The following is a 22249-nucleotide window of genomic DNA, read 5'->3' on the forward strand; positions in this document are numbered from 1 at the left end:
GAGAAATGCCAATGAGCTTAAAACTTGGAGTGGGCAAGCTTTTTTTTTTTTTTTTCTTCTGAGATGGAGTTTCACTCTTGTAACCCAGGCCGGAGTACGGTGGTGCAATCTCGGCTCACTGCAACCTCCACCTCCCGATCGGAGTTCAAGCGATTCTCCTGTCTCAGCCTCCCAAGTAGCTGGGATGATAGGCGCCTGCCACCAGGCCTGCCTAAGTTTTGTATTTTTAGTAGAGATGGGGTTTCACCATGTTGGCCAGGATGGTCTCGAACTTCTGACCTCAGTTGATCTGCCCATCTTGGCCTCCCAAAGTGCTGTGATTACAGGTGTGAGACACTGCGCCTGGCCCAAGCTATTTTTTAAAAGTTATTATTGTGCTGGGCTCCAGGTGCCATTGTAGTCAGCTAGCACTCAGAAGCTACTCAGAGGCTAAGGCAGGACGATCTCTTGAACTCAGGAGTCCGAAACCAGCCTGGGCAACATAGTGGGACCCTGTCTGTAAAAAAAATTTAAAGAAAAATAAAAACCCATATTATTGTATCCACAGTCAACTCTGAAGGCCCTTTTATTGCTATCATTTAAGCAACTGCTTAATGGGAAAGTGAGAAAGAGCTATACTGTCTTTATGTGATCAAAATGCTTTGTTTCTTCCAGCCAACATAACTCTTGAACCAGTTTTTATAGTGAGGAGACCAAATAACCTTTTGACAAAAAAAGAAGGGCAAATCCCCAAAGCATGGTTTTGCTAGTCATTTCCAAGAAGGCATTTCTGGTCAGATTTCAAGCAGGCTCACCTAGAACTACCTCTGGGCAGCGGAGCAATTCTGATGTCTGCAGATACCTCAAGACCTTGGCCTCCGTTCATTGCTCATCTATCCTGAGGCATCGGGAAATCCAAATCACAGAGAACTCTATGTAGGTGAGGAGCATGAGAAAGCTCTCAGTCAAATTTCAAGCCTGGGTCAGCATCAGAAACTCCACACTGGAGAGAACCTCCAGCAAGTGTGGGAAAGCCTTCTTCCTCTGCTCCATCCCTGCTGCTCACCCACCAATGGAGTCACTCAGAGGAGAAGGCTATACCTGTTCTGGTTATAGGAAGTCTTTAGAGCGGATTTCAGGCCTTAGGAAATGTCAGAAATCATGCACTGGAATGAAATTCTATGTGTGTAGTGAAGGTGGGCAAACATTCCTTCACTCTGAGTTCTGCTCTTGGTGCCCACCAGCAAATCCCCCTGGGGAGAAGCACTCAGCGCAGTGAGTGTGGGGAAGGCTTCCTCTGGGTCAGAGGTCTCCTCTCACATCACAGAAGCTGCAGTGGGGAGAAGCCTGCAGGGAGAGTGGCAAAGCCATGACCCACTGCTTCCTTAGGGTTTCTCCCAGTGTGGGTGCCTTGTCAGGTTTCTGCTCTGAGATTTTCCCACACACCTCACATTCACATGTTTCTCCCCAGTGTGGTTGCTGATGCAGGCACGGCCTCTGGTGCCCACTTCAGCCTTTCCCATACTCAATGCCCCTCAAATGGTTTCTCCAACCCTGCCCTGAGTTGCACCATGAGGCCCCTGGCCCTATTGAGCACTCCCTGATGTAGACTCTTTGATGGGCAGCAACGGCTGAGCTCCAGGTTAAAACTTGCCCATGCTCATTACATACATAGGATTTTTTTTCAGTATGCACTTGCTGATGTTGCCTAAGATATGAAATCTGGCTGAAAGATTTTCCACAGTTGGGCAAATCTTTCAGGGGAGTCTAGCCCCAGAATGTCTCCTCTGGTGGGGCATAAGGGATAGAGCTCAGAGTGAAGGACTTCCCACACTCACATTGACAGAACCTTACCCCACTGTGAATTCTCTCTCAATGATGAAAAGCTAGATGCAGGGGAACTCTACCACATTCACCATATTTACAGCTTTGCGTTCTATGGAAACCTTGTGATGTTGAACTAAGTTGGAGCTGGAACTGAATCTTTGTCCAAATCCCTTATATTTCTGGCCTCCCTAACTTGTGGAGATTTTTGTTTTTAATCCTTAGTTGTTTTCACATGAGATCTCTTGCTATTTATGTTCTTTCCTAAAGGATTTCCCTGTATCTTTTCTAAGTTGTTTTTCATTTCACAGGCTGCTCCAGATTCAAACATCTGTTTTTCCCCTGATATTAATGTCAGTGAATTTATCATCATATTCTGAACCAGAATCAACATCTTGCTCTGAGTTCTGTTCTAACCCTCTGCCAAGAATAGAAAAGGCAAATACAAGAGGCATACAGGAAAGTTACTAGAACACTAGTGGGGCCCTTTGAGAGGGTAGGTCAGAGACCATTGTGAGACTCAGTGCAGAGAAGATGGAATGGAGAGCACACCAAGGAGATGGGGTCAGCAAACCAACTACAAGGAATTGAACTCTTCGGTAGCAAACAAGGGAAGGCTAGCAGGTGATGAGGGAAAGCCAAGACAGGAACTCTCACAGTAGAGAACTGTACAGGGAGGAAAACTCTGTTTTCTCTTCCTGATGAGAAAGCTTACTTTGACAACTGCCCTTCCCACCCCCTTTCTAAAGTTCCCCAGCAAAAGAGAGGCCGTTGCTAATTGGATGAGTCAGAGTCCCAGACATTAGCTGGCCAACCTTATTTAGTGGACATGATAAATGTTTCTTTTAAAGCTGGGACCTTCATTGCCCTCTCTTTTTGTGACTTTGTTCTTCTGCTATGGGACAGGGCAGAGGGTAATAGCCTGAGATTTGGTTGCAGCCTCCAGAGGGCAGTAGAAGTCTTGCTTGAGTCTGATCTAAAAAGCAGGACAGCATATACTGATCTTCATGGTTTCTTGGTATGATTATTAATGGCAGACCCTTTCTTTCACTCATTTTTATTCTACAGAGTTTCCCAGTTTGGACAATAAATTATGGTCATCCAAGAGTCATGTCATCAAACTCATCTTCAGCAGAGGGCCTGAATTAGGGAAACAGGCACCAACTCAGTAATGATGAGATACAGTTGGTAAGTTCCATTTCCTAACAGGCTACTGTTCCTTGCATGGATCTCCTTTGGGAATTCAGCATGGAGGAAGTGGGACTGGCAGAGCAGGAGTCAGTCTTCCCGGATCCTTCATCAGAATATTTCATTTCTAATACAGGACAAGAGGAGTGATTCTCTGTTGGACTGGGAGGCCCAATAATTAAATGGGGGCAAGGGATGGAAATAAGAACATTCAAGGCCAGGCGTGGTGACTCATGACTGTAATCCTAACACTTTGGGAGGCTGAGGCAGGTGGATCACCTGAGGACAGGAATTCGAGACGAGCCTGGCCAACATGGTGAAAACCTGTCTCTACTAAAAATACAAAAATTAGCTATTCAGGAGGCTGAGGCAGGGAATTGCTTGAACCTGGGAGGCAGAGTTTGCAGTGAGCCTAGATTGCACCACTGTACTCCAGCCTGGGTGGCAGAGTAAGGCTGTCTCAGGAAAAAAAAAAAAAAAAAAAAAAAATTTGAAAGGAACACAGTCTTTGAAAGAATGAGAAACAATGCTTTCAATGGGGAGTGGGTACAGGCCATGAAGAGGGAGCTATCTCGCTGTGTCTTAAACCAGAAAGCTCTGCATGTGAGGTGGGCCCAGAAAAGATGAAGGTGACTCTAGAAAGACCCAGTGTGCCTACGGGTGTAAGCCTTCTAAGTCTCCCTGTTTCTGGTTTTTCCACTCAATTTTTACTGCACCAAAGAGCAGACAAGGAGGAATATAGGAGAGAAAGCATGGGCCATAAAAGACACTAATATAGTGTTACAAAGTCCAAGTCTATCCTTAATCACAATGTATACAAACATGTTATGTTTCCTCATTAAAAGGAAGGAGGGAGACAGAGAAGGGAGGAGACTTTTTACAAGAGATTTACCTACAATAAAACCAAACAATAGAAAAGGTTGAAAAGAAAGGAAGGAAAAAGGGTACACCAAGCAAGTTCTAACAACAAGAGAAAAAGCTGTGTAGAATTATTAATATGAGACAAAACAGACTCTAAGGCTAAGCATTTAATGGGCATAGAATGGAATATTTCATATTGATAAAAAACCAATAATCAATCCCTAAGTTGTCGAACAATGTCCAAGTCAGGAAACCTAGAAGTTACTCTTTTTTTCTTTTTTTTTGAGATGGAGTTTCCCTCTTGTTGCCCAGGCTAGAGTGCAATGGCACAATCTCGGCTCACTGCAACCTCCTCTGCCTCCTGAGTTCAAGCGATTCTCCTGTCTCAGCCTCCCAAGTAACTGGGATTACAGGCATACACCACCATGCCTGGCTAATTTTGTATTTTTAGTAGAGACAAGGTTTCACCATGTTGGCCAGGCTGGTCTCAAACTCCTGACCTCAAGTGATCCATCTGCCTCAGCCTCCCAAAGTGCTGGGATTACAGGCATGAACCACCACGCCCAGTCTAGAAGTTGCTCTTAATTCTCCACCCTCTCACATCTAAAACATCAGCAAGTCCAGTTTATTCTTCTTCCAAAATGCATTGTAAATCCACCCATTTCTTTCCATCTCCACAGCACATCATCCCTAGTCCTGGCCACCATCTTCTCTCAAATGTAGTCCTGCAATGGTGCTCTAACTGGCCTCCTGACACTGAAATTAATCTCCCCCAAGCAACTTCAAATTGGTTAACCTGGCCAACATGGTCTTCCGCAGGCAGGCCTCTGCCCAACTCTGACTGCACCTCTGACACTGTGACTCTCATCCAGGCACAGTGGCCTCCCTTCTGTCACCTGATCAGCCCAATCAGTTACATCTTGAGCCTTTGCAGCAACTTTTCCCACTGCATAGAATGCTCCTTTCTCACACCTTCAGGGGTATAGCAGTCCTTTAAAATTCATCTGTTAGTTTAAATGGCACCCCCTAAGAAAGGAGGGTGAAGTTTTTCAATACTTGTTAATATAGGAGCATAAGAATTACTGTAATTATCTTTCAACCTATTTGTTACCTTTATAAATAAACTTCTTATGACATAGACTACTAACACTAATCTGTGAAATGTTGAATTATGATGAAAACAGAGAACTGAGAGGCTGGGCACGGTGGCTCGTGCCTGTAATCCCAGCACTTTGGGAGGCTGAGGCAGGAGGATTACTTGAGGCCAGAAGTTTGAGACCAGCCTGGGCAACATAGTGAGACCCCTGTCTCTACAAAAAAACAATATAAAAATCAGCTGGACGTGGTGACACACACCTATAGTCCCAGCTACTCAGAAAGCTGAGGAGGGAAGACAGCTTGAGCCCAGGAGGTCAAGGATGCAGTGAGCTATGATCACACCACTTCACTCCAGCCTGGGCGACAGAGTGAGACCCTGTCTCAGAGACAGCGAGAGCAAATGGGGGTAGGGGGGAACACTAAGGATTCTCCTTCAAATAGTCCAATTTATTTCTTTTTTGTTTTTTTGAGACGGAGTCTTGCTCTGTCGCCCTGGCTGGAGTGCAGTGGTGCGATCTCGGCTCACTGCAACCTCCGCCTTCAGCGTTCAAGCAATTCTCCTGCCTCAGCCTCCCAAGTAGCTGGGATTACAGGCGTGCGCCACCACACCCGGCTAAATTTTGTATAAAACAAGTACCATCCACTAGATGGCGCTTCTAGCCTGTTCTATCCTGTTCTTGACTCTTTTCAGGACCCTGGACAGTGCCTGGTGTACAGCAACCGTTCCGTAACTATTGAATGATTTGTCATAAACTTACATGCACCCTGAACCTATCAGCACAGCTTTAAAATATATAAGGCAAATGGGTCTACAAAAAGAAAGAGACGAGTGTGAAGCCAACCCACACCCCTTAGAAACATACTAGGGAAACCCAAAACAACAAAGAACTTTTTAAATGCAAAAGTAGAATGACTGCTTTTACCCTCTGTATTTCTGAATTATTTTTTCAGGATTAATATGTATTACTTTGATAAATGAGATTAAATTTTTCTTCATGTTCCCTTCTCAAATTGTAAAGTCTTTTACTATGGTTCTAAGGAGCTGGTCAAACCTGTTCAGGGGTGTTAAGTGCACACCAAGATGGAAGGTGACAGGAAGGTGTATAACATTAGGATTATATTTAGGTTTATTCTTTTTTTTTTTTTTAGACGGAGTGTTGCTCTGTCACCCAGGCTGGAGTGCAGTGGCATGATCTCAGCTCACTGCAATCTCCACCTCCCAGGTTCAAGTGATTCTCCTGCCTCGGCCTCCCAAGTAGCTGGGATTATAAGCCTGCACCTCCACGCCCAGCTAATTTTTGTACTTTCAGTAGAGACGAGGTTACACCATGTTGGCCAGGCTGGTCTCAAATGCCTGACCTCAGGTGATCTGCCAACCTTGACCTCCCAAAATGCTGGGATTACAAGTGTGAGCCACCACGCCCAGCCTGTTTAGAGTTATTCTAAAAATCATAACTTCTTGGAATTAAAAAAGTTCTATACATGGCTAGTAACCCCTTCTGCAGCTGAAACTGACTACAAGTCCCCTTCTGTCACCCAGAGTGACCAGAATTGTGTTCTGTGAGGGGCAGGGTTCACTGGATAGCATGAGGTGACGTGCCAGGCTGAATTCTCTCCCTGCAGTGGAGGCTACTCTACAATAAAGTGAAAGGAAGATCTGACCTAATGCCCTGCAGAGCTTCATTTCTCCCACCATCTGGTTTTGTAAGGAAAAAAAGTATGTGCTTCTATGTATTTTTTTTAGCACTACTCCTTAATTTAAATGTCTATTTAAAAAAGACCAAAGCTTAACTGGTTATCTTTGAAATATAATTTCTTTTTATTTTCTTCTTTTACTTCTTTATATTTTCTTATATTTCTACAATCATAAGTACAAATTAGGTGGCAAAGAAATGATATAAAAGAAGCATGGTATCTGCCAAATCAAATTCTCTGGATGAGCTAATGCCCACCCAAGTGGCAAGTTGAGGAAAGGAGGGTGCTGTTGACTTACGGTCCATTTCTAATCTGTCCTGAGCGTTGGTAAGGCCAGGGGCTGGACAGTGGGCTATTGGAGAGGACTCCAGTCTCAGGCCAATGTACTCGGTACTTCCATCAGGAGGGTATGTGGCAGCTGGCCCTTCCATCCACAGTATCTTTTGGGCAGCTATACTGATCACTGTGGGAAAGAGAGTTTCTGCGGTGCCAGCTGAGTTGGTCTTCCCTGTGTGAGACACCCAAGGGGAGCCATGGGCGGCCTCTGAGGAGAAAAGTCTTCTTATTGCCTTCATGTCTTTATGCCCCGACAGCATAACCACTCAGCAGAATTCCACAGTTGCTCAAGGAGGTAACACTCCCTTGAAGCAGTGGAGTATAATCAAACATCTTGGCCCCTCCTGAAAGCCACTCCCACCCATTTCAGTCCCGATAAGTTAAAGATCTTAAGTAGTTTAGACACATGCCTTTGCTCAAGGAAATTCACAGAAACCACCACAGCTACACATATTATTGAATGACTCATGAGTTCTCCTTCACTGATTAATCCTTTTCCTCATCCCTTCCTACCCCTCCCATCTGCCCTAAGAACAAAGAGCTTGTAAACCAATAAATCAGGCAGAGCCTGGGCTGTGAGCAAGCCTCCGATGCTCAGGTCCCCTGGACCTGCTTTTTAAACGCTTATTCTGTCTCTTTCTAACTCCTTTGTCTCCGCTGGACTCAGGGTAGCAGGTGGTGTGGGGCTGGTTTCCCCAAACAATCACTGTAACAGATAAGGCAACATAAATACACTTTCTCATAACTTGTCATCTGCACTAGATTTAACAGCAGCACCAGTGATTCTGCAGTGCCCTCCAGGCACTGGAGCAGGATGACTTTAGGCATTTCTACAAACCCAAAACCTCCTTTCCTTTGTTGCCTCTCTTGACTCCACCCAGGGGTGCTTCTGTTTGAGGACTCATAGGGGAGCCAAATAAAGAACATATTGGGCCCATATTTTTAAATTATTTTCCTTATGATGTTATTGCAAATCACAGACTATCTTCCTGGGAATAATCCAAAATGTTCATTGCTTTTCTTTCTAGTGTGGGCAAACTAAATTTCTGTGATTGAGACCAGGACAAATTGGTCTTAATAGATGTTCCCTTCCAATAGGCCTGGTAGATGTGAATTAATGTCAAATTGACTGAATTGCTCTCCCTCCAGCTGTGACTAGCCAGACCAAGCAGCTACAAAAGTGCTCCCAGGAGGAATGGGACTTCCTCCCATCCCCTTTCACTTGGGATCTTCCTTGTCCCCTCCTCTGCATTACTCCCAGTTGGACAGAACAACTCACCCCCAAGCCCTACAACAATGGAACCCTCCCAGGCCAACCCCTTTAGGCCTGGCACCAGCCCAACCACAATTCATGCACGTCACCCTGCTAACCCACTAATAACATTGCCCCCCCTCTTTGGGAAGCTGGGAGATCTTCAGAGCTCTTTGGTTTTCAAACTTCAAGATCTTAAAAGCATGGTTGCTGTATCCATTCCAATAACTGAATGAAATTGGCATGGGGTTCATCTGCCTGCAGACACAAGGGAAACTGAAAAGAACTAACATTTGTTGAGAATCTTACTGTGCACTTTGTATTGTGTTTGGTTCCTTGGCGTTGTTGTCCCATTTATTCCTCATGGCCACCTAAGTATAGCTATGCCCATTTTATAGATAGAAGAAACTGAGGCTCAGAGAGATGACTCCCCATGCCCAAGATCACACACTTCCTAATATTAGGAAATGTTACATTAGGAGTTACAGCGTCAAGAAATGATCCTGTACAGATGCATTATGGTTTCTCCTCAAGAGGAAACTGTTCTGGGGATTCCTTAGTCCCATTAGTGCTGGGTCCCTGGCACCTTCCAAGTCCAGCTTGTGCCCAGTCATTGTGGCTGGACAGCCCTGCTGGTTGTTCTTATTTACTAGAATTATCTCAGAGGTGGTGACATTGCTATATGGTCTAAACACTGCCAGCTCCACACAAAGGTGCCATGGCTCAGCCATCACATTGGAAGGGCCTGCTTCACTCCTTCGCTGCTGTCATCACCCTGAGGCAGTAACTTCTCTCATAACCTCGGGGCTAGAGCAGATTTCCCAGGAAGAGAATACAACACCAAAACTCCTCTTTCACCACCTTCCCAAGCTTCTAGATCTCTTTTTATTCCACCTACACAGAAACCATGTGGGAGATCAGAAGCCTTCAGTGACCTTCGGCCACATCTCCACATCTTTTCAAAAATCTCATAAGGATGGTTGTATTAGTCAAGGTTCTCCAGAGAAACAGAACCAACAGATTAGATATAGATATAGATGCCCTGAGAGAAATTTATTTTAAGAAGTTGGCTCATGCAATTATGGAGGCTAAATCTCACAATCTGCCAACTGCAAGCTGGAGACCCAGGTAAGCTGGTGGCATAGTTTGAAGGCCAGAAAGCCAGGGAGCCAATGGTATGGATGCCAGTTTGAGTTTGAAGGTCTGAGTACCAAGAGTGCCAAGGAAGGGAGAAGATCAATATCTCAACTCAAGCAGTCAGGCAGAGCAAGAACTCAACCTTCCTGTGCCTTTTTGTTCTTTCTATTGAGGCCCTTAACGGATCATGCCCACCCACACTGGGGAGGGCCATCTGCTTTATTTAGCCCACCAATTCAAATTCTAATCTCTCACAGACACATCCAGAAGTAATGTTTAACCAGATATCTGGGCACCCTTTGCCTAGTCAAGTTGACATGTAAAATTAACCACCACGATAAAGGTAGATTAGTTTCCAAAATTCAACAAGGTCTTACATCTTCACCACTCCTGTACCTAGAATTTAGCCCAAAACAATGAAACCCTTCCTTTTTTTATTATTTTGAAAATTACATAGGCCATTAAGTTGGAATCCCATTCTAGAAACCTGGAGGTTTTCTGTGGAAGGGAGGTCAGAATAGAACAGCTTGTACAGGAGTGAAGGGGAAAACACAGCTCAGCCACAGAGGCCCATTCACTAACCCTTACTTGTATGAGCTCATCTGTTTTTCTTGTACTTTCATTCAATATATGACCACTGGTGCCAGGTAATGTGCCAGGAGCTACAGAGAGCTATAGAGTGTACTGAGAACACTCCAACACTGGCATCAGCCATCTCTGACCTTATAATCTGTTTTTCTTCACAGTATCTTTAATAATGGAAATTGTTTATTGTTTATCTCTTCCACTAAAAGGTAAGCTGTATGAGAACAAGGCCTGTGTTTTTCTTCATCACCATTCTATCCCCAGCACATAGTAAGTATTCTTATGCTAAATGAGAGGATGAATGAATGAATGAATGAATGGAGATCTGACTTCTATTCTCCTTGTTGCCACTGTTTGGGTGGAAAGACATTGGGGCCATCCATCAGACTGGGGAACCCAGGAGGAATAGGTTTATGGGGACAGGGAGATGAAGTCTGCAACTCCCTGTTTGGCGGATAATCAGTTGAAATGTTAATTGACTTAATTTTTTCCCTCTATCCTGCCATGTAGGAGTCCCTTACCTATTCAGTTAGAGGCAGTTCAGGAAAAATCTGGCATTGTTGCAGCAGGAACGCAAGGAGAATAAAACAATATTTAGTTCTAATATCCAAATAAGATTCCTAAAACTGCACATCAGAAATAAGTTTTTAAAACCAAGATGTTGATTAACAAAAGCCAATAAAAGGAACAAGTGATTTTTTTTAAATTAACATTATAATGGAAAGAAAATAATATAAGAGGGGATTCGGTCTGGGACTGGGGAGAGACCTGAGGACCACAGGAGAAATGAAGAAGCATGAGGAGGGAGGACCTTTGTGAGGACTTTTTGAACTGGGGAGACCACAAAGCGAGGAGGTGGAACACAGATGTGGAGTGTGTCCAGCTTCCCACATGTGCATGCATTATCATCACCAGTGCACGAGTTTGTGTCAGTGGCCCAAGACCACCCCTTACAATTCAAGTGCACACTCCTGTAGCCAGGAGCCAACTGTTGAGGGTCTTCTTTTGACAGCTGCCTGCAGCCTGCCCTTGGTCAACCAACAAGGGAGAATTCATCTATGACCTGAGGTAGGCACAGCCCAACCAAACCACCCTATGTAACAAACCACCTTTACAATAGTCTAGGTCATCTGCAAGCCTAAAATAAGAAAGTGGCCCTGGTGTTCTGGAGAGCAAGCCGTTCTCAAAACATGATGTGGGGACTCCTGGAACCCCTTCAGGTGCTCTGTGAAGCCCAAACTATTTTCACAATAATTTCACAAACTATTTTCTTAAAGAACTAAGATTTTCTTTTCCTCCCTTATTCTCATTCTCATATGAGTGTATAGAGGCTACATATTTGTCATATCCCAACAGATTAAATGCAAAAGAATATATAGCAATCCAGCCAACTCCCATTAACCAGTCTCTAAGGAGATTTACAAAAAAGTAAAATGGTACCACTCTTCTAACTAATCTTTGGTTTTGAAAAATACAGTTATTTTCATTTTAAAATGTTGTAAATAATGTAAATACTAACATATAATGAAGTTATTATTGCATTTGAATGAATTAATGGATATTTTAAAATGTCTATCTTACTTATAAGTGAACACCAATAAGTTCTTTGCAGTCCTGAATAGTTTTTAGGGGTGTCAAGAGTTTTTGACTAAAGAGCTTGAGAACCTCTGATCTAGAAGGACGGAATTGTGAAAGTAAAAACACAACAACAACAACAACAACAACCAACTCTGCACTTGGGTGAGAATGAACAGAACCAGAAGAAGACAGTTTGAAGCCAGTATAGTAGAGAAAACCTGCCTATTGCACCTGCTAAACTGCAAACACCCAAAGGGCTCATGTCTAGCCTACTTGCATCTAACTCGCTGCCTGACATTCAGTTGGTGCAAAATGAATATTTGTTCCATCAGTATCTATACAACTTGAGATGTGCTGAGCTTGAGGTGTCTGTGAGATATCTAGGGAGAGACAAGTAGGGAGACAAATGCATGGAGTTGGAATTCACTGAAGTAGATATACAGATGTGGAAATCATCAGCTTATGAGAGGTGGGTGAAGCAAGGAGTCAGTGAGCTCATCTAGAGAGGGAGGGTGTTAAAAACGAAGTGAAAAGGTCAGGGAAACCCTGGGGAACACTAACATTTAAGAGGTGGATGGAGGAAAAGATCAGCCCATTTTGAGAGCCCAGATGTTTGATGCTATGTACTAGGAAAGTTGTGTCAAAGAAGTAGAACTGACAAAGTATGTTATTACTGAAGTCAAGACAGAAGAGAAGTGCAATAAATTAAGAGTGGTCCTGTGACAAGCACCGTAGCTTGGCTCACCCAACATCTTTTCTAACTCTCTTTCTCCTGAACTTCCTTCATTTCAAAAGTCTAGCTATTGTAGCTGGGTGTGGTGGCTCATGCCTGTAATCCCAGCACTTTGGGGGCTCAGGTGGAAGGATCTTTTGAGCCCAGGAGTTTGAGACCAGCCTGGGCAACATGTGAGACTGCATTTCTACAATTTTTTTTCTTCAATTAGCCAGGTGTGGTGGCACACGCCTGTAATCTCAGCTACTTGGGAGGCTGAGGTGGAGGGATCATTTGGGCTGGGGAGGTCGAGGCTGCAGTGAGCCATGATCATGCCACTGCACTCCAGTCTGGGCAACAGAGCAAGATCCTGTCTCCAAATGGACATAGTGGCTGTCCAATATGGTAGCCACTAGCCACATTTGGCTATTTAAATTCAAATTAATTTAAGTCAAATAATATCAGAAATGCAGCTTTTCAGTCATACTAGCCAGGTTTCAAGTGTTGTCACCACATGTGGCTAGAAGCTGTTTTATTAGAGCAAGTATAGAACGTTTTCATCATCACAGAAAGTTTTATTGGACAAAGCTGCTCTAGAGGTTGGAAACCTAAAATGGTCTCCCAGATTCTCTTGGAACTAGAAGTGGCCAAATGCACAGTTCTAATGTGTAGGAGAAAGTCCTTGGTGAGGCATCTCTTACCCAATAGGTTTTTTTTTTTATTAAAAAAAAAAAAAAGTCTATAGACGGGGTGTTGCTGTGTTGCTCAGGCTAGAGTGCAGTGGCTATTCACAGGCACAATCATGGTGCACTGCAGCCTTATGAACTCAAGTGATCATCCTGCCTCAGCCTCCAGAGTAGCTGAGATTATAGGTACATGCCACTGCACCCCACTCAAATGTATATATAACTGCACCCCACTTAAATGTATATATAACTCACATTTATTTCAATGCTTAATATTAGCAATGTTTGGGGTCTTTATTTAAAATTTTGGTGAAGGTTTTGTGACCAGAAATATGCCGTAGGAACTTAACTCGTTTATATCAATTAGCCTATGGCAAAATTGGTGGTTATATATCATTTAACTTAAAGTCACAGCTTCCAAGAACCTATCAATGACTTTAAGTGAGGGCTTCCCCTGTACATATATTTTTATTTTACATATATCATATATATTTTTATTTTTATACTATATTATATAACTTTATCATATTATTACATATTGTCTTGTATATAATATGCAAACGTTCTATATATGATGTTTCTCTGGAGAATGCTAATACAAATATGTGTATGTAATAACCGGCTGAACTAATGAAGCTGACTCTAGAAATTGCTTGGTATAATGTAAACTGGAGGAAGGAATCCAAAGCCATAGACAGAAGCCAGCTATGACATGTTTGTTTTCCAAATAGTGCTTGCAGAAATCTTTAGAGGTTGGTATTTGCCAAGGGTTTTGAGACTGGAGGACATCGCAGCAGAGCAGAATTGTTTGGAATGGGTTGGATGACTAGGATTAGTGAGATGAAACAGAATTCTAGTGATAGGGCTAGAAAAGTCCTAAAAGAAAGTATACATAAAGTCATTGGGGGTGTTTCTTTTAGAGAAGAGTTGTAGCATTAATCCTAGTCCAAGAAGCAGAGAGGAAACAAGCCAAATTCCAATACATAACTGACCTTTTCCCATAGAGTAGTTTCTACTAGAGCTTTACTCTCCAAGCCTTATTTTTCATCCCTCTCAGTAAACTTGATGCCAATGACTGAAAAAAAAAAAAAAAAAAAAAAAAGCCGTCTTTTCTAATCCTAAACAATATTTAGGGAAATATCACAGAATTTTCTTCATGGTTATCACCTTTCTTCATAGTTATCACCTTTCCAAGTTCTGACAGCTTCTGGGGTGAAAGAAGCCAGAAATGACAGGGAATTAGGATGAAAGGGAAACAGGCTCAACCCATTTCAGGTGAGCAACCCCTGGGGCTAGGCTTATTCCAGACCTTACTAGTAGAAGGAAAAAGGAAGCAATATTCCTGTCCCCCTTTAATTGGGGAAAACCAGCCTGGCCCTCCAGAACGCTTACAGTGAGGGAAGATGAAACATCCCCTCACTTTGGGAGTTCTGCACACTTAATTTGTAGAAACATTTGTGTGTGGAGCATTGGTGTTATTGGGCATGGGGCAATCTTCTAGATACTATTAGAAGATATGGGCTTAGCCACAGAAGAGTTCTAAGGGCATATGGTGGCATCCTGGAGGCCTCATAGGTGAAGGGAATTTAAAAATTCACTAGGGTATCAGCTTCTCCTTGGCTGTTGTCCATTGTTTAAGTAAGAAATAATGAATGGGCCGGGCGTAGTGGCTCACGCCTTTAATCCCAACACTTTGGGAGGCCTAAGCGGGTGGGTCACGAGGTCAGGAGATTGAAACCAGCCTGATTAACATGGTGAAACCCCATCTCTACTAAAAATGCAAAAAATTAGCCGGGCGTGGTGGCAGGCGCCTGTAGTCCCAGCTACTTGGGAGGCTGAGGCAGGAGAATGACGTGAACCTGGGAGGTGGAGCTTGCAGTGAGCCGAGATTGTGCCACTGCACTCCAGCCTGGGGGACAGAGTGAGACTCTATCCCCAAAAAAAAAAAAAAAAAATGAATGAATGAATGTAAGTATCACCTATTTTCTAAATTGATGGGAGAACCAATCACCAGGGGACATTATGGTGGCTTAAGTTCACACAAATTGTATGCATCTAGAGATTGAATCACTGTTTTTGTTAATTTCCTACATCCTATAACAGGAAACAACTTGTACTGAAATAATGACTCCCACCCTTACCCAGCAATTTGATCATGTTGTTCCCTCTGCCAGAAATGCTCTTCCCTCTTCCTCAAGGCCCAACTCAGTGCTATTCCCTTTTAAGTTGCCTCTAGATTAATCCCTTGTTTGGCTCTCTGAACTTCTCTTATGTTGGGTATCACATACCGACTTTGTTGGAGTCACTGGTATCTACCTGCCCTTGCCTTTGATATTTCCAAGGTCCAGGGCTTACTGCCTTCTCCCTGGAATTCAGTTTTTTTGCATAGATGTCTTCGGTAAGTGATGATGTATAGTGCTTAACAGGATGTGTCAAAGTTCTCACCTTACCTCACTGAATCCTCCCAACTCTGAGAGGGTAGCAGGCATGGATACTTTTTCCATTTCACAAAGAAAGAAACTTAAGACTCACAGTGTATATGTAACTTGTTCAAGGTATCAATCCCAGCTGGTATGTGGCAGAGCTAGATTCTGCCATATTTACAGGCTGGAAAGAAACTCCAGTGTATGTTTGAGACCCTTCTGGAAGAATCTGGATTTCAAATCTGAGGCCCGACAAAACCCAGAAACGAATAGATTACAACCTATGATGTCAAGCTTATTATTTCCAAGAAAAAAATCATGCTTTTGGAGAATCAAGCTCACAGAATTCTGGCCCAAAAACAGACAAGGTCCCTACAGTGAGGGGCAGGAGACCTGGGTTACTCTCTCTCCATGGACCTGTTTCCCCACCTGTAAAATAGGAAGGTAGTGACTGGATTAGCAACTCTAAGGATCCTCCCTGCATGCATGCTAACAACTGGTATATGGGAGTTGTGGGTAGGCTGGCCTGAAAATACTCCTTTCCCTTCACAGATTTGTAGCAGGAAGGGCCAGAAGCCGAGCTCTAGGGCCATTGGGGAGATTGGGAAAAGGACAACAGACCCCAGGACAGGGATTTAGTCAGGGCAGAGTACCAGGAGTAGGATGGCTCTACCCTCCTTGCCCCACCCCTGGAAGAACAATGTGTAGAACCCCCAGGAAGGAAGCACTTAGAGCAGGGGTGGTACTGGGTTAGGAGCCAGAGGCCCACAGGGTCCCAGATGCCATTGCTAATGCACTCAGTCCCCAGCAGGTCACCGCTGTTCTTTAGGCCTATCTGTCCACCTGTCATTGCATCTGGAGTTGGTTCCCTCCACTGGGTTCTTGGTCTTGCTGACTTCAAGAATGAAGCCGCGGACCTTTGCGGTGAGTGTTACAGCTCTTAAAGGTGGCACAGACCCAAAGAGTGAGCCGCAGCAAGATTTCTTGTGAAGAGTGAAAGAACAAAGCTTCCACAGTATGGAAGGTAACCCAAGCAGGTTGCTGCTTCTGGCTGGGGTGGCCAGCTTTTATCTCCTTATTTGTCCCTGCCCATGTCTTGCTGATTGGTCCATTTTACAAAGTGCTGATTGGTGCATTTACAATCCTCTAGCTAGACTCAGAGCACTGACTGGTACGTTTTAACAGAGTGCTGACTGGTGCATTTACAATCCTTTAGCTAGACACAGAGTGCTGATTGGTGCATTTACAATCCTCTAGCTAGACAGAAAAGTTCTCCAAGTCCCCACTGGACCCAGGAAGTCCAGCTGGCTTCATCTCTCAATCCTCCCCTCTAAGCAGGACCCCCCAACTGCTGCTGGGAATTGGGTGATGACCGCTCTAGCTAATTCCTGCTGGATAGGGGTAAAGAAGGGGATCTGCAGTGGTAGTGTCCTCCAGAGGGGAAATCTCTAGGCCAGACAGAGGGCCAGTGGGTCGATCCAGGGGTCCTAGGTAGAAGTTGTTAGTTGAGCTCCTTTGGGATTCCATTTGTAAGACCATCTGTAGCTTGACGGCCTTAATCCTGGAGGAAACAAATTTGATAAGGAGGTTAAAAATACAGGGCCTGAAGGCGAGTAATAGCAAGATGGCTGACATGGAATCTAGAAAGGGGAGAAGCCATGTCACCCAACTCCAGAGGTTGGTATAAGAGTTTGAAAGGCGTTGTCTGATTTTAGAAGCCTTTTCCTGTTAATGCCAGGCAATGTCTTGTACTATCCTTGACTGGTTAGTGTAAAAGCAACACTCTTCTCCTAAGAAGGTGCAAAGTCCTCCTTTCTCAGCAGTGAGGAGATCTAGGCCTAGGCGGTTTTGGAGAGTCACTGCTGCCAAAGAGTCTATTTGGGATTGTAGAGTAAGGATAGATTTTGTTATTTCTTGCAAACTGTCTGAGAAATCCTTTGAGAGTGCGTGGTAGTAGGGTAATACATGTTACACTGTTAACTTTTAGCAAACTTTACTTTTGTTGAAAACCTTGTAAGTTTGGGATTTTAATTATTCTTTGCTATTAATAAGACCTCATTCAGTCCATATTAACTTAGAATTGGTATAGATGGCTCCTTCCTGATTCTGCAAGTACTTTAAGGTTCAGCTGAGTGCAAACAGCTTGCAGGTTTGAGCAGACCAATTACTAGGCAATTTTCCTAACTCTGCTTCTACAAGAGTTTCCTTATCACTTACTGAATACCCATTGTGTCTTTTCCACTTAATCACCCAGGAGGAACCATCTATCATCCTGTCCTGAAGGGAGTTCCTCCTAGGTCTGCTCTGAACTTTGTATGGTAATTAAGATTCAGATCCCCTGTTAGGAAACCTGCTGGGTTAAGGATTTTTGATAGGAAGCCTATGGGTTGTCAGTGGCCTCAGTGCTTTCCGGCTACACCCTTGTTTACACTGACAACAAGGTGGTATTGGAGTGTTATAGAGTTATGGAGAAGACCTTCAATTATCAATTATAGGTTTTAACTTTACCCTGACTTTCAAAGGAATAGGGTACACTGTTTTTTCTTTACTACTTCTCTCTCTTTCTCTCTTCCTCTTCATCTCTTCTCTCTCTCTTTTTCCTTCTCTTTGACTTTGTCTCTCTCTCTTTCTCTCTGACTCTCTTTGACTTTCTGTCTTTCCTCCCTCTCTCTGTCTCTCTGTCTTTTCCTCTCTCTCTCTGACTTTCTCTCTCTTTCTTTCCTTCTTTATTTCTTTCTTTCTCTGACTTTCTGTCTCTATTTCTTTTCTTCTCTCTTTGACTTTCTCTGCCTCTGCCAGCCACTTATGCTGCTGTTCTCCCTTCTCTTTCCCCTTTTGATGGCTTTGGCAGTGTAAGACTGCCACCTCCTTGGGTTTTTGCACTGCGTGCAATAACTCCATGATTTCCTTGTGGTATTTAATGAGGGTTCCACCATTAAACGTTAGGAACTCCCTTTCTTTCCATATTGCAGCATGGGCATGTAGGATTAGATAAGCATACTTGCTATCTGTATACACATTTATTCTTTTTCCCTTTCCCAGTTCTAAGGCTCGGGTAAGTGCCACTAGTTCTGCTAACTGGTCGCTGGTCCCTGAGGGAAGAGGCTTACTTTCAAGTACTGTTACATCACTAACTATGGCATAACCTGCTGTTTGTATCCCATTCTCCACAAATGAACTTCCGTTGGTATATAGGTTAGGGTCAGGATTAGCTAAGGGGACTTCTAAGAGATCCTTTTGGGTGGCATAAGTCTGGACTATAATTTGTTGGCAGTCATGCTCGATTGATTCCCCATCCTCTGGGAGAAAAGTGGCAGGGTTGAGGGCCGCACACATGCGTATTTGAAGCACTGGTCCCTCAAGGAGTAGCACCTGGTATCTAAGCAGGCAGTTGTCTGATAGCCATAAGCTTCCTTTGATACCTAGTATGCCATTTACGTCATGAGTAATCCAGTTGGCGAGATCCTTTCCTTGTATGATTTTGATAGCCTCTGACACTAAGATGGCCACTGCCGAAACTACTCATAAACAGTGAGGCCAGCCTTTTGCTATTATATCAATTTCCTTACTTAGGTATGCCACTGGTTGTGGGGTTGTCCCACGAGTCTGAGTAAGGACTCCAAGAGCTATTCCTGCTCTCTCTGTGACATATAAACAGAAGTTTTGTCCTGTGGGAAGGCTTAAGGCTGGAGCTTGTACTAGGGCCTGCTTTAAGGTTTTGAATGCTGTTTCTGTTTCTGGTTTCCATTCTACTAGATTAATATTTGCCCTCTGGGTCTCCTTGATTAGAGTATAGAGTGGCCTGGCCATCTCACTGTTTCCATGGATCCATAGTTGGCAAAAGCCAGTCATTCCAAGGAACCCCTGCAATTATTTTAATGTCTTAGGGCAGGGATAAGCCAGTAGAGGCTGCATCCATTCCTCGCTGAGGGCCCTGGTTCCTCTGGCTAAGATTAGGCCTAGTTATTTGACTTGAGTTGGGCCTACTATTTAGTTGCCTTATACCCTTGATTAGCTAGAAAGTTCAAGAGATCTAGAGTAGCCTGCTGGCATGAGGCTTCTGAACTGGTAGCCAAAAGTAAATCATCCACATACTGAAGGACCAGAGTGCCTAGACTTGAGAAGTGGCCTAGATCTCGGGCCAGTACCTGACCAAACAGATGAGGGCTATCCCTAAACCCTCAGGGCAAGACCATCCACATAAGTTGGGACGTGTGGTCTGTGCAATCCTCAAAGACAAAGAGAAACTGGGCGTCAGAGTGCAGGGGAATAGAGAAGAAGGCATCCTTGAAGTCCAGAACTGTGAACCATTCTGCTTCCTCTGGTATTTGAGAGAGCAGGGTATAGGGGTTGCATACAACTGGATATAGAGGAATTACTGCCTCATTGATGAGTCTGAGATCTTGCACTAGTCTCCACTGACTGTTCGGTTTTTGTACTCCTAGAATTGGGGTGTTGCACGGACTGCTGCATTTTCTTACTAAGCCTCAAGCTTTTAAATGTCTAACAATATCCTGTAATCCTTTATGAACTTCAGGCCTTAAGGGATATTGCCTTTGAGAAGGAAAAGTGGTGGGGTATTTTAGCCTGATTTGGACTGGGTGGGCATTTTTTGCCCTTCCGAATTGTCCTTTCAATGCCCATACTTCAGGGTTGATTCCCTCCTCAAGCAGGGGACAACAAATGGGTAACTTGTTCCCCATATTCATACAGATAATAGCTCCAGCTTTGGCTAATATGTCCCTCCCTAATAAGGGTATGGGACTTTCAGGCATAACAAGAAAGGCATGTGAAAAGAGCAAAGTCTCCCAATTACAACTGAGAAGGTGGGAGATATACCTGGTTACAGGCTGTCCCAAGATTCCTTGGATGGTAACGGACCTGAGGACTGCTGTCTGGGACAGGAGATTAACACTGAGAAAGCCATGCCAGTGTCCAGGAGGAAGTCAATTTCCTGGCCCTCAATGGTTAAACGTACCCAGGGCTCAGTGAGGGTGATGACATGAGCTGGTGCTTGCCCCGGGCACCCTCAGTCCCGTTGTTGGATCACCTGGTTGGGGGCTTCTGGCCCAGAGAACCTTTGTCCTCTGGGGCAGTGCACCTTCCAGTGATTGCCTCAGCATAGTGGACATGGGTGAGGAGGCAGCTTGTTTCTCATTGGACAATCTTTTTTAAAGTGTCCTTGCAAACCATGCTGATAACAAGCCCTACTGGGTGATTGGCCTGCTCCATTTTCTGTCCTCTCTGAACCACCAAGGTTTGTTTGTCTGAGGGCCACGACTAAGGCTGCGGCCTTCCTCTGATCTCACTTTTCCTTTTTGGCTTGTTCCTCTTGGTCCCTATTATAGAACACCGAGGTTGCCAGGTTTAATAATGCCTCCATATTTTGTTCATGGCCCAGGGCTCGCTTTTGGAGCTTTCTCCTGACATCTGGGGCTGACTGGGTAATAAACTTATATTTTAGGATCAATTGACCCTTGAGGGAGTCAGGTGACAGGGGAGTGTATTTTCTTAAGGCCTCCCGTAGCCGCTTGAGGAAGGCAGTAGGATTTTTCTTCCTTTCCCTGAGTTATGGTGGACATCATTGAATAATTCATGGGCTTTTTCTAATTCTCTTTAGTCCTTCCAGAACACAGGTCAGCAGATGTTTACGACTCCAGTTCCCATGATCTGAGTCTGGGTCCCAGTAGGGATCCATACTGGGGAAGGCTTGCTGACCAGCAGGGAATTTGTCCCTTTCTTTGGCTGTCATTCTATCATTTACTTGACTAAGATATCAGGTATCTCCAAACTCTCGGGCTGCAGCTAAGGCCGCATTCTTTCCATTAAAGGCCAGGGTTTGATCTAACAATAGCATGACATCTCTCCAAGTGAGGTCAAGGGTTTGCCCTAGACCCTGTAGGACATCTATGTACCTATCAGAATCATCTGAAAACTTCCCCAGATCTGCCTTAAATCAGAGAGGGAGAAGGGAACATGTACCTGGGTTGGGCCAAATTCCCCTCCCCCTACAGCTTGAAGGGGACATAACCGATAGCCTGGGGGTTTTTGTGGTCCTTTGGAGATTTCTTTATTTCCTTCTTGGCTGGGGAGATTAGAGGAGGCTTATCATTAATAGGAAGGGAAGCTATAGGGAGGCTAGGATATGGGGGTAAGCTGAGAGGTCCTCCTGTGGGATGTAAATTGCAAGCTTTGCATAGTTGTGGATTCTCCTTCAATGAAAAGAAAGCTTGGACATAATGTATTTCACTTAATTTGCCTTCCCTCTTTCAGAAAAGGTCAAACTGCAGGATAGGATAGTATTGTAATTTATACTTCCCTCAGGTGACCATTTTTCCCCATCAGAGAGAAAATATTGGGGCCAGGCCATAGTGCAGAAAAAAATAAGCCACTACTTTTTCAGGGTTTGTGGGTCAAATTGGTCCCAATGGCTTAGGATGCATTTCAAGGGTAAGTCTGTTGATGCCTGAGTGTTTCCCATGTGAAAGAAAAAACTGCCCATGGTTTTGGTTTGTTTGTTACCCCCACCCCCCAACCCTGCAAGAACCCGCAACAGTCCCTGGACCCTGCTGATTGGAATAGTTGTGCTAACCAATGCAGCACCAGATCCCCCTCTTGCCCAAGAACCCAAAACAGTCCCTTGGACCCTGCTGATCAGAATAGTTGCACTCACAACACAGCAGCAGAAACACTAGTTTTCCTCTTAGACCCAAAGAGGATTGAGGAAATTCAGATTTAGTGGCCCTTACTGACGCATTCTCAAAAACCTGCACCTTGCCTGTCCTCTTAGACCACAAAGAGGACTAAGAAAAATTGGATTTAGTGGCCCTTACCGACACATTCTTGAAAACCTGTTAGAGTCCTAAGCGTTTTTTCCTGTTAGTATTAGGAACTT

The 22249-nt window shown here is 44.2% G+C and overlaps 1 pseudogene, besides 3 other annotated features; it reads right to left on the minus strand.

Moving 5' to 3' along the window:
* Positions 1367–2122, minus strand: LOC100419748 (zinc finger protein 852 pseudogene; annotated as a pseudogene).
* Positions 5478–5606: a silencer, noted in NCBI's record as "fragment chr3:44574349-44574477 (GRCh37/hg19 assembly coordinates)". NCBI's record gives its function as "represses an EF-1alpha promoter that drives an FKBP-Casp9 reporter gene in an ReSE screen in HepG2 liver carcinoma cells {active_cell/tissue: HepG2}" and the evidence as "EXISTENCE:reporter gene assay evidence [ECO:0000049][PMID:32094911]".
* Positions 5478–5792: a biological region, named in NCBI's record as "Sharpr-MPRA regulatory region 15293".
* Positions 5498–5792: a silencer, noted in NCBI's record as "tiled region #15293; HepG2 Repressive non-DNase unmatched - State 12:CtcfO, and K562 Repressive DNase unmatched - State 12:CtcfO". NCBI's record gives its function as "represses a minimal TATA promoter and a strong SV40 promoter by Sharpr-MPRA in HepG2 and K562 cells {active_cell/tissue: HepG2 | K562}" and the evidence as "EXISTENCE:reporter gene assay evidence [ECO:0000049][PMID:27701403]".

The sequence above is a fragment of the Homo sapiens genome, chromosome 3 (assembly GCF_000001405.40).
Source record: "Homo sapiens chromosome 3, GRCh38.p14 Primary Assembly".
NCBI lineage: Eukaryota > Metazoa > Chordata > Mammalia > Primates > Hominidae > Homo > Homo sapiens.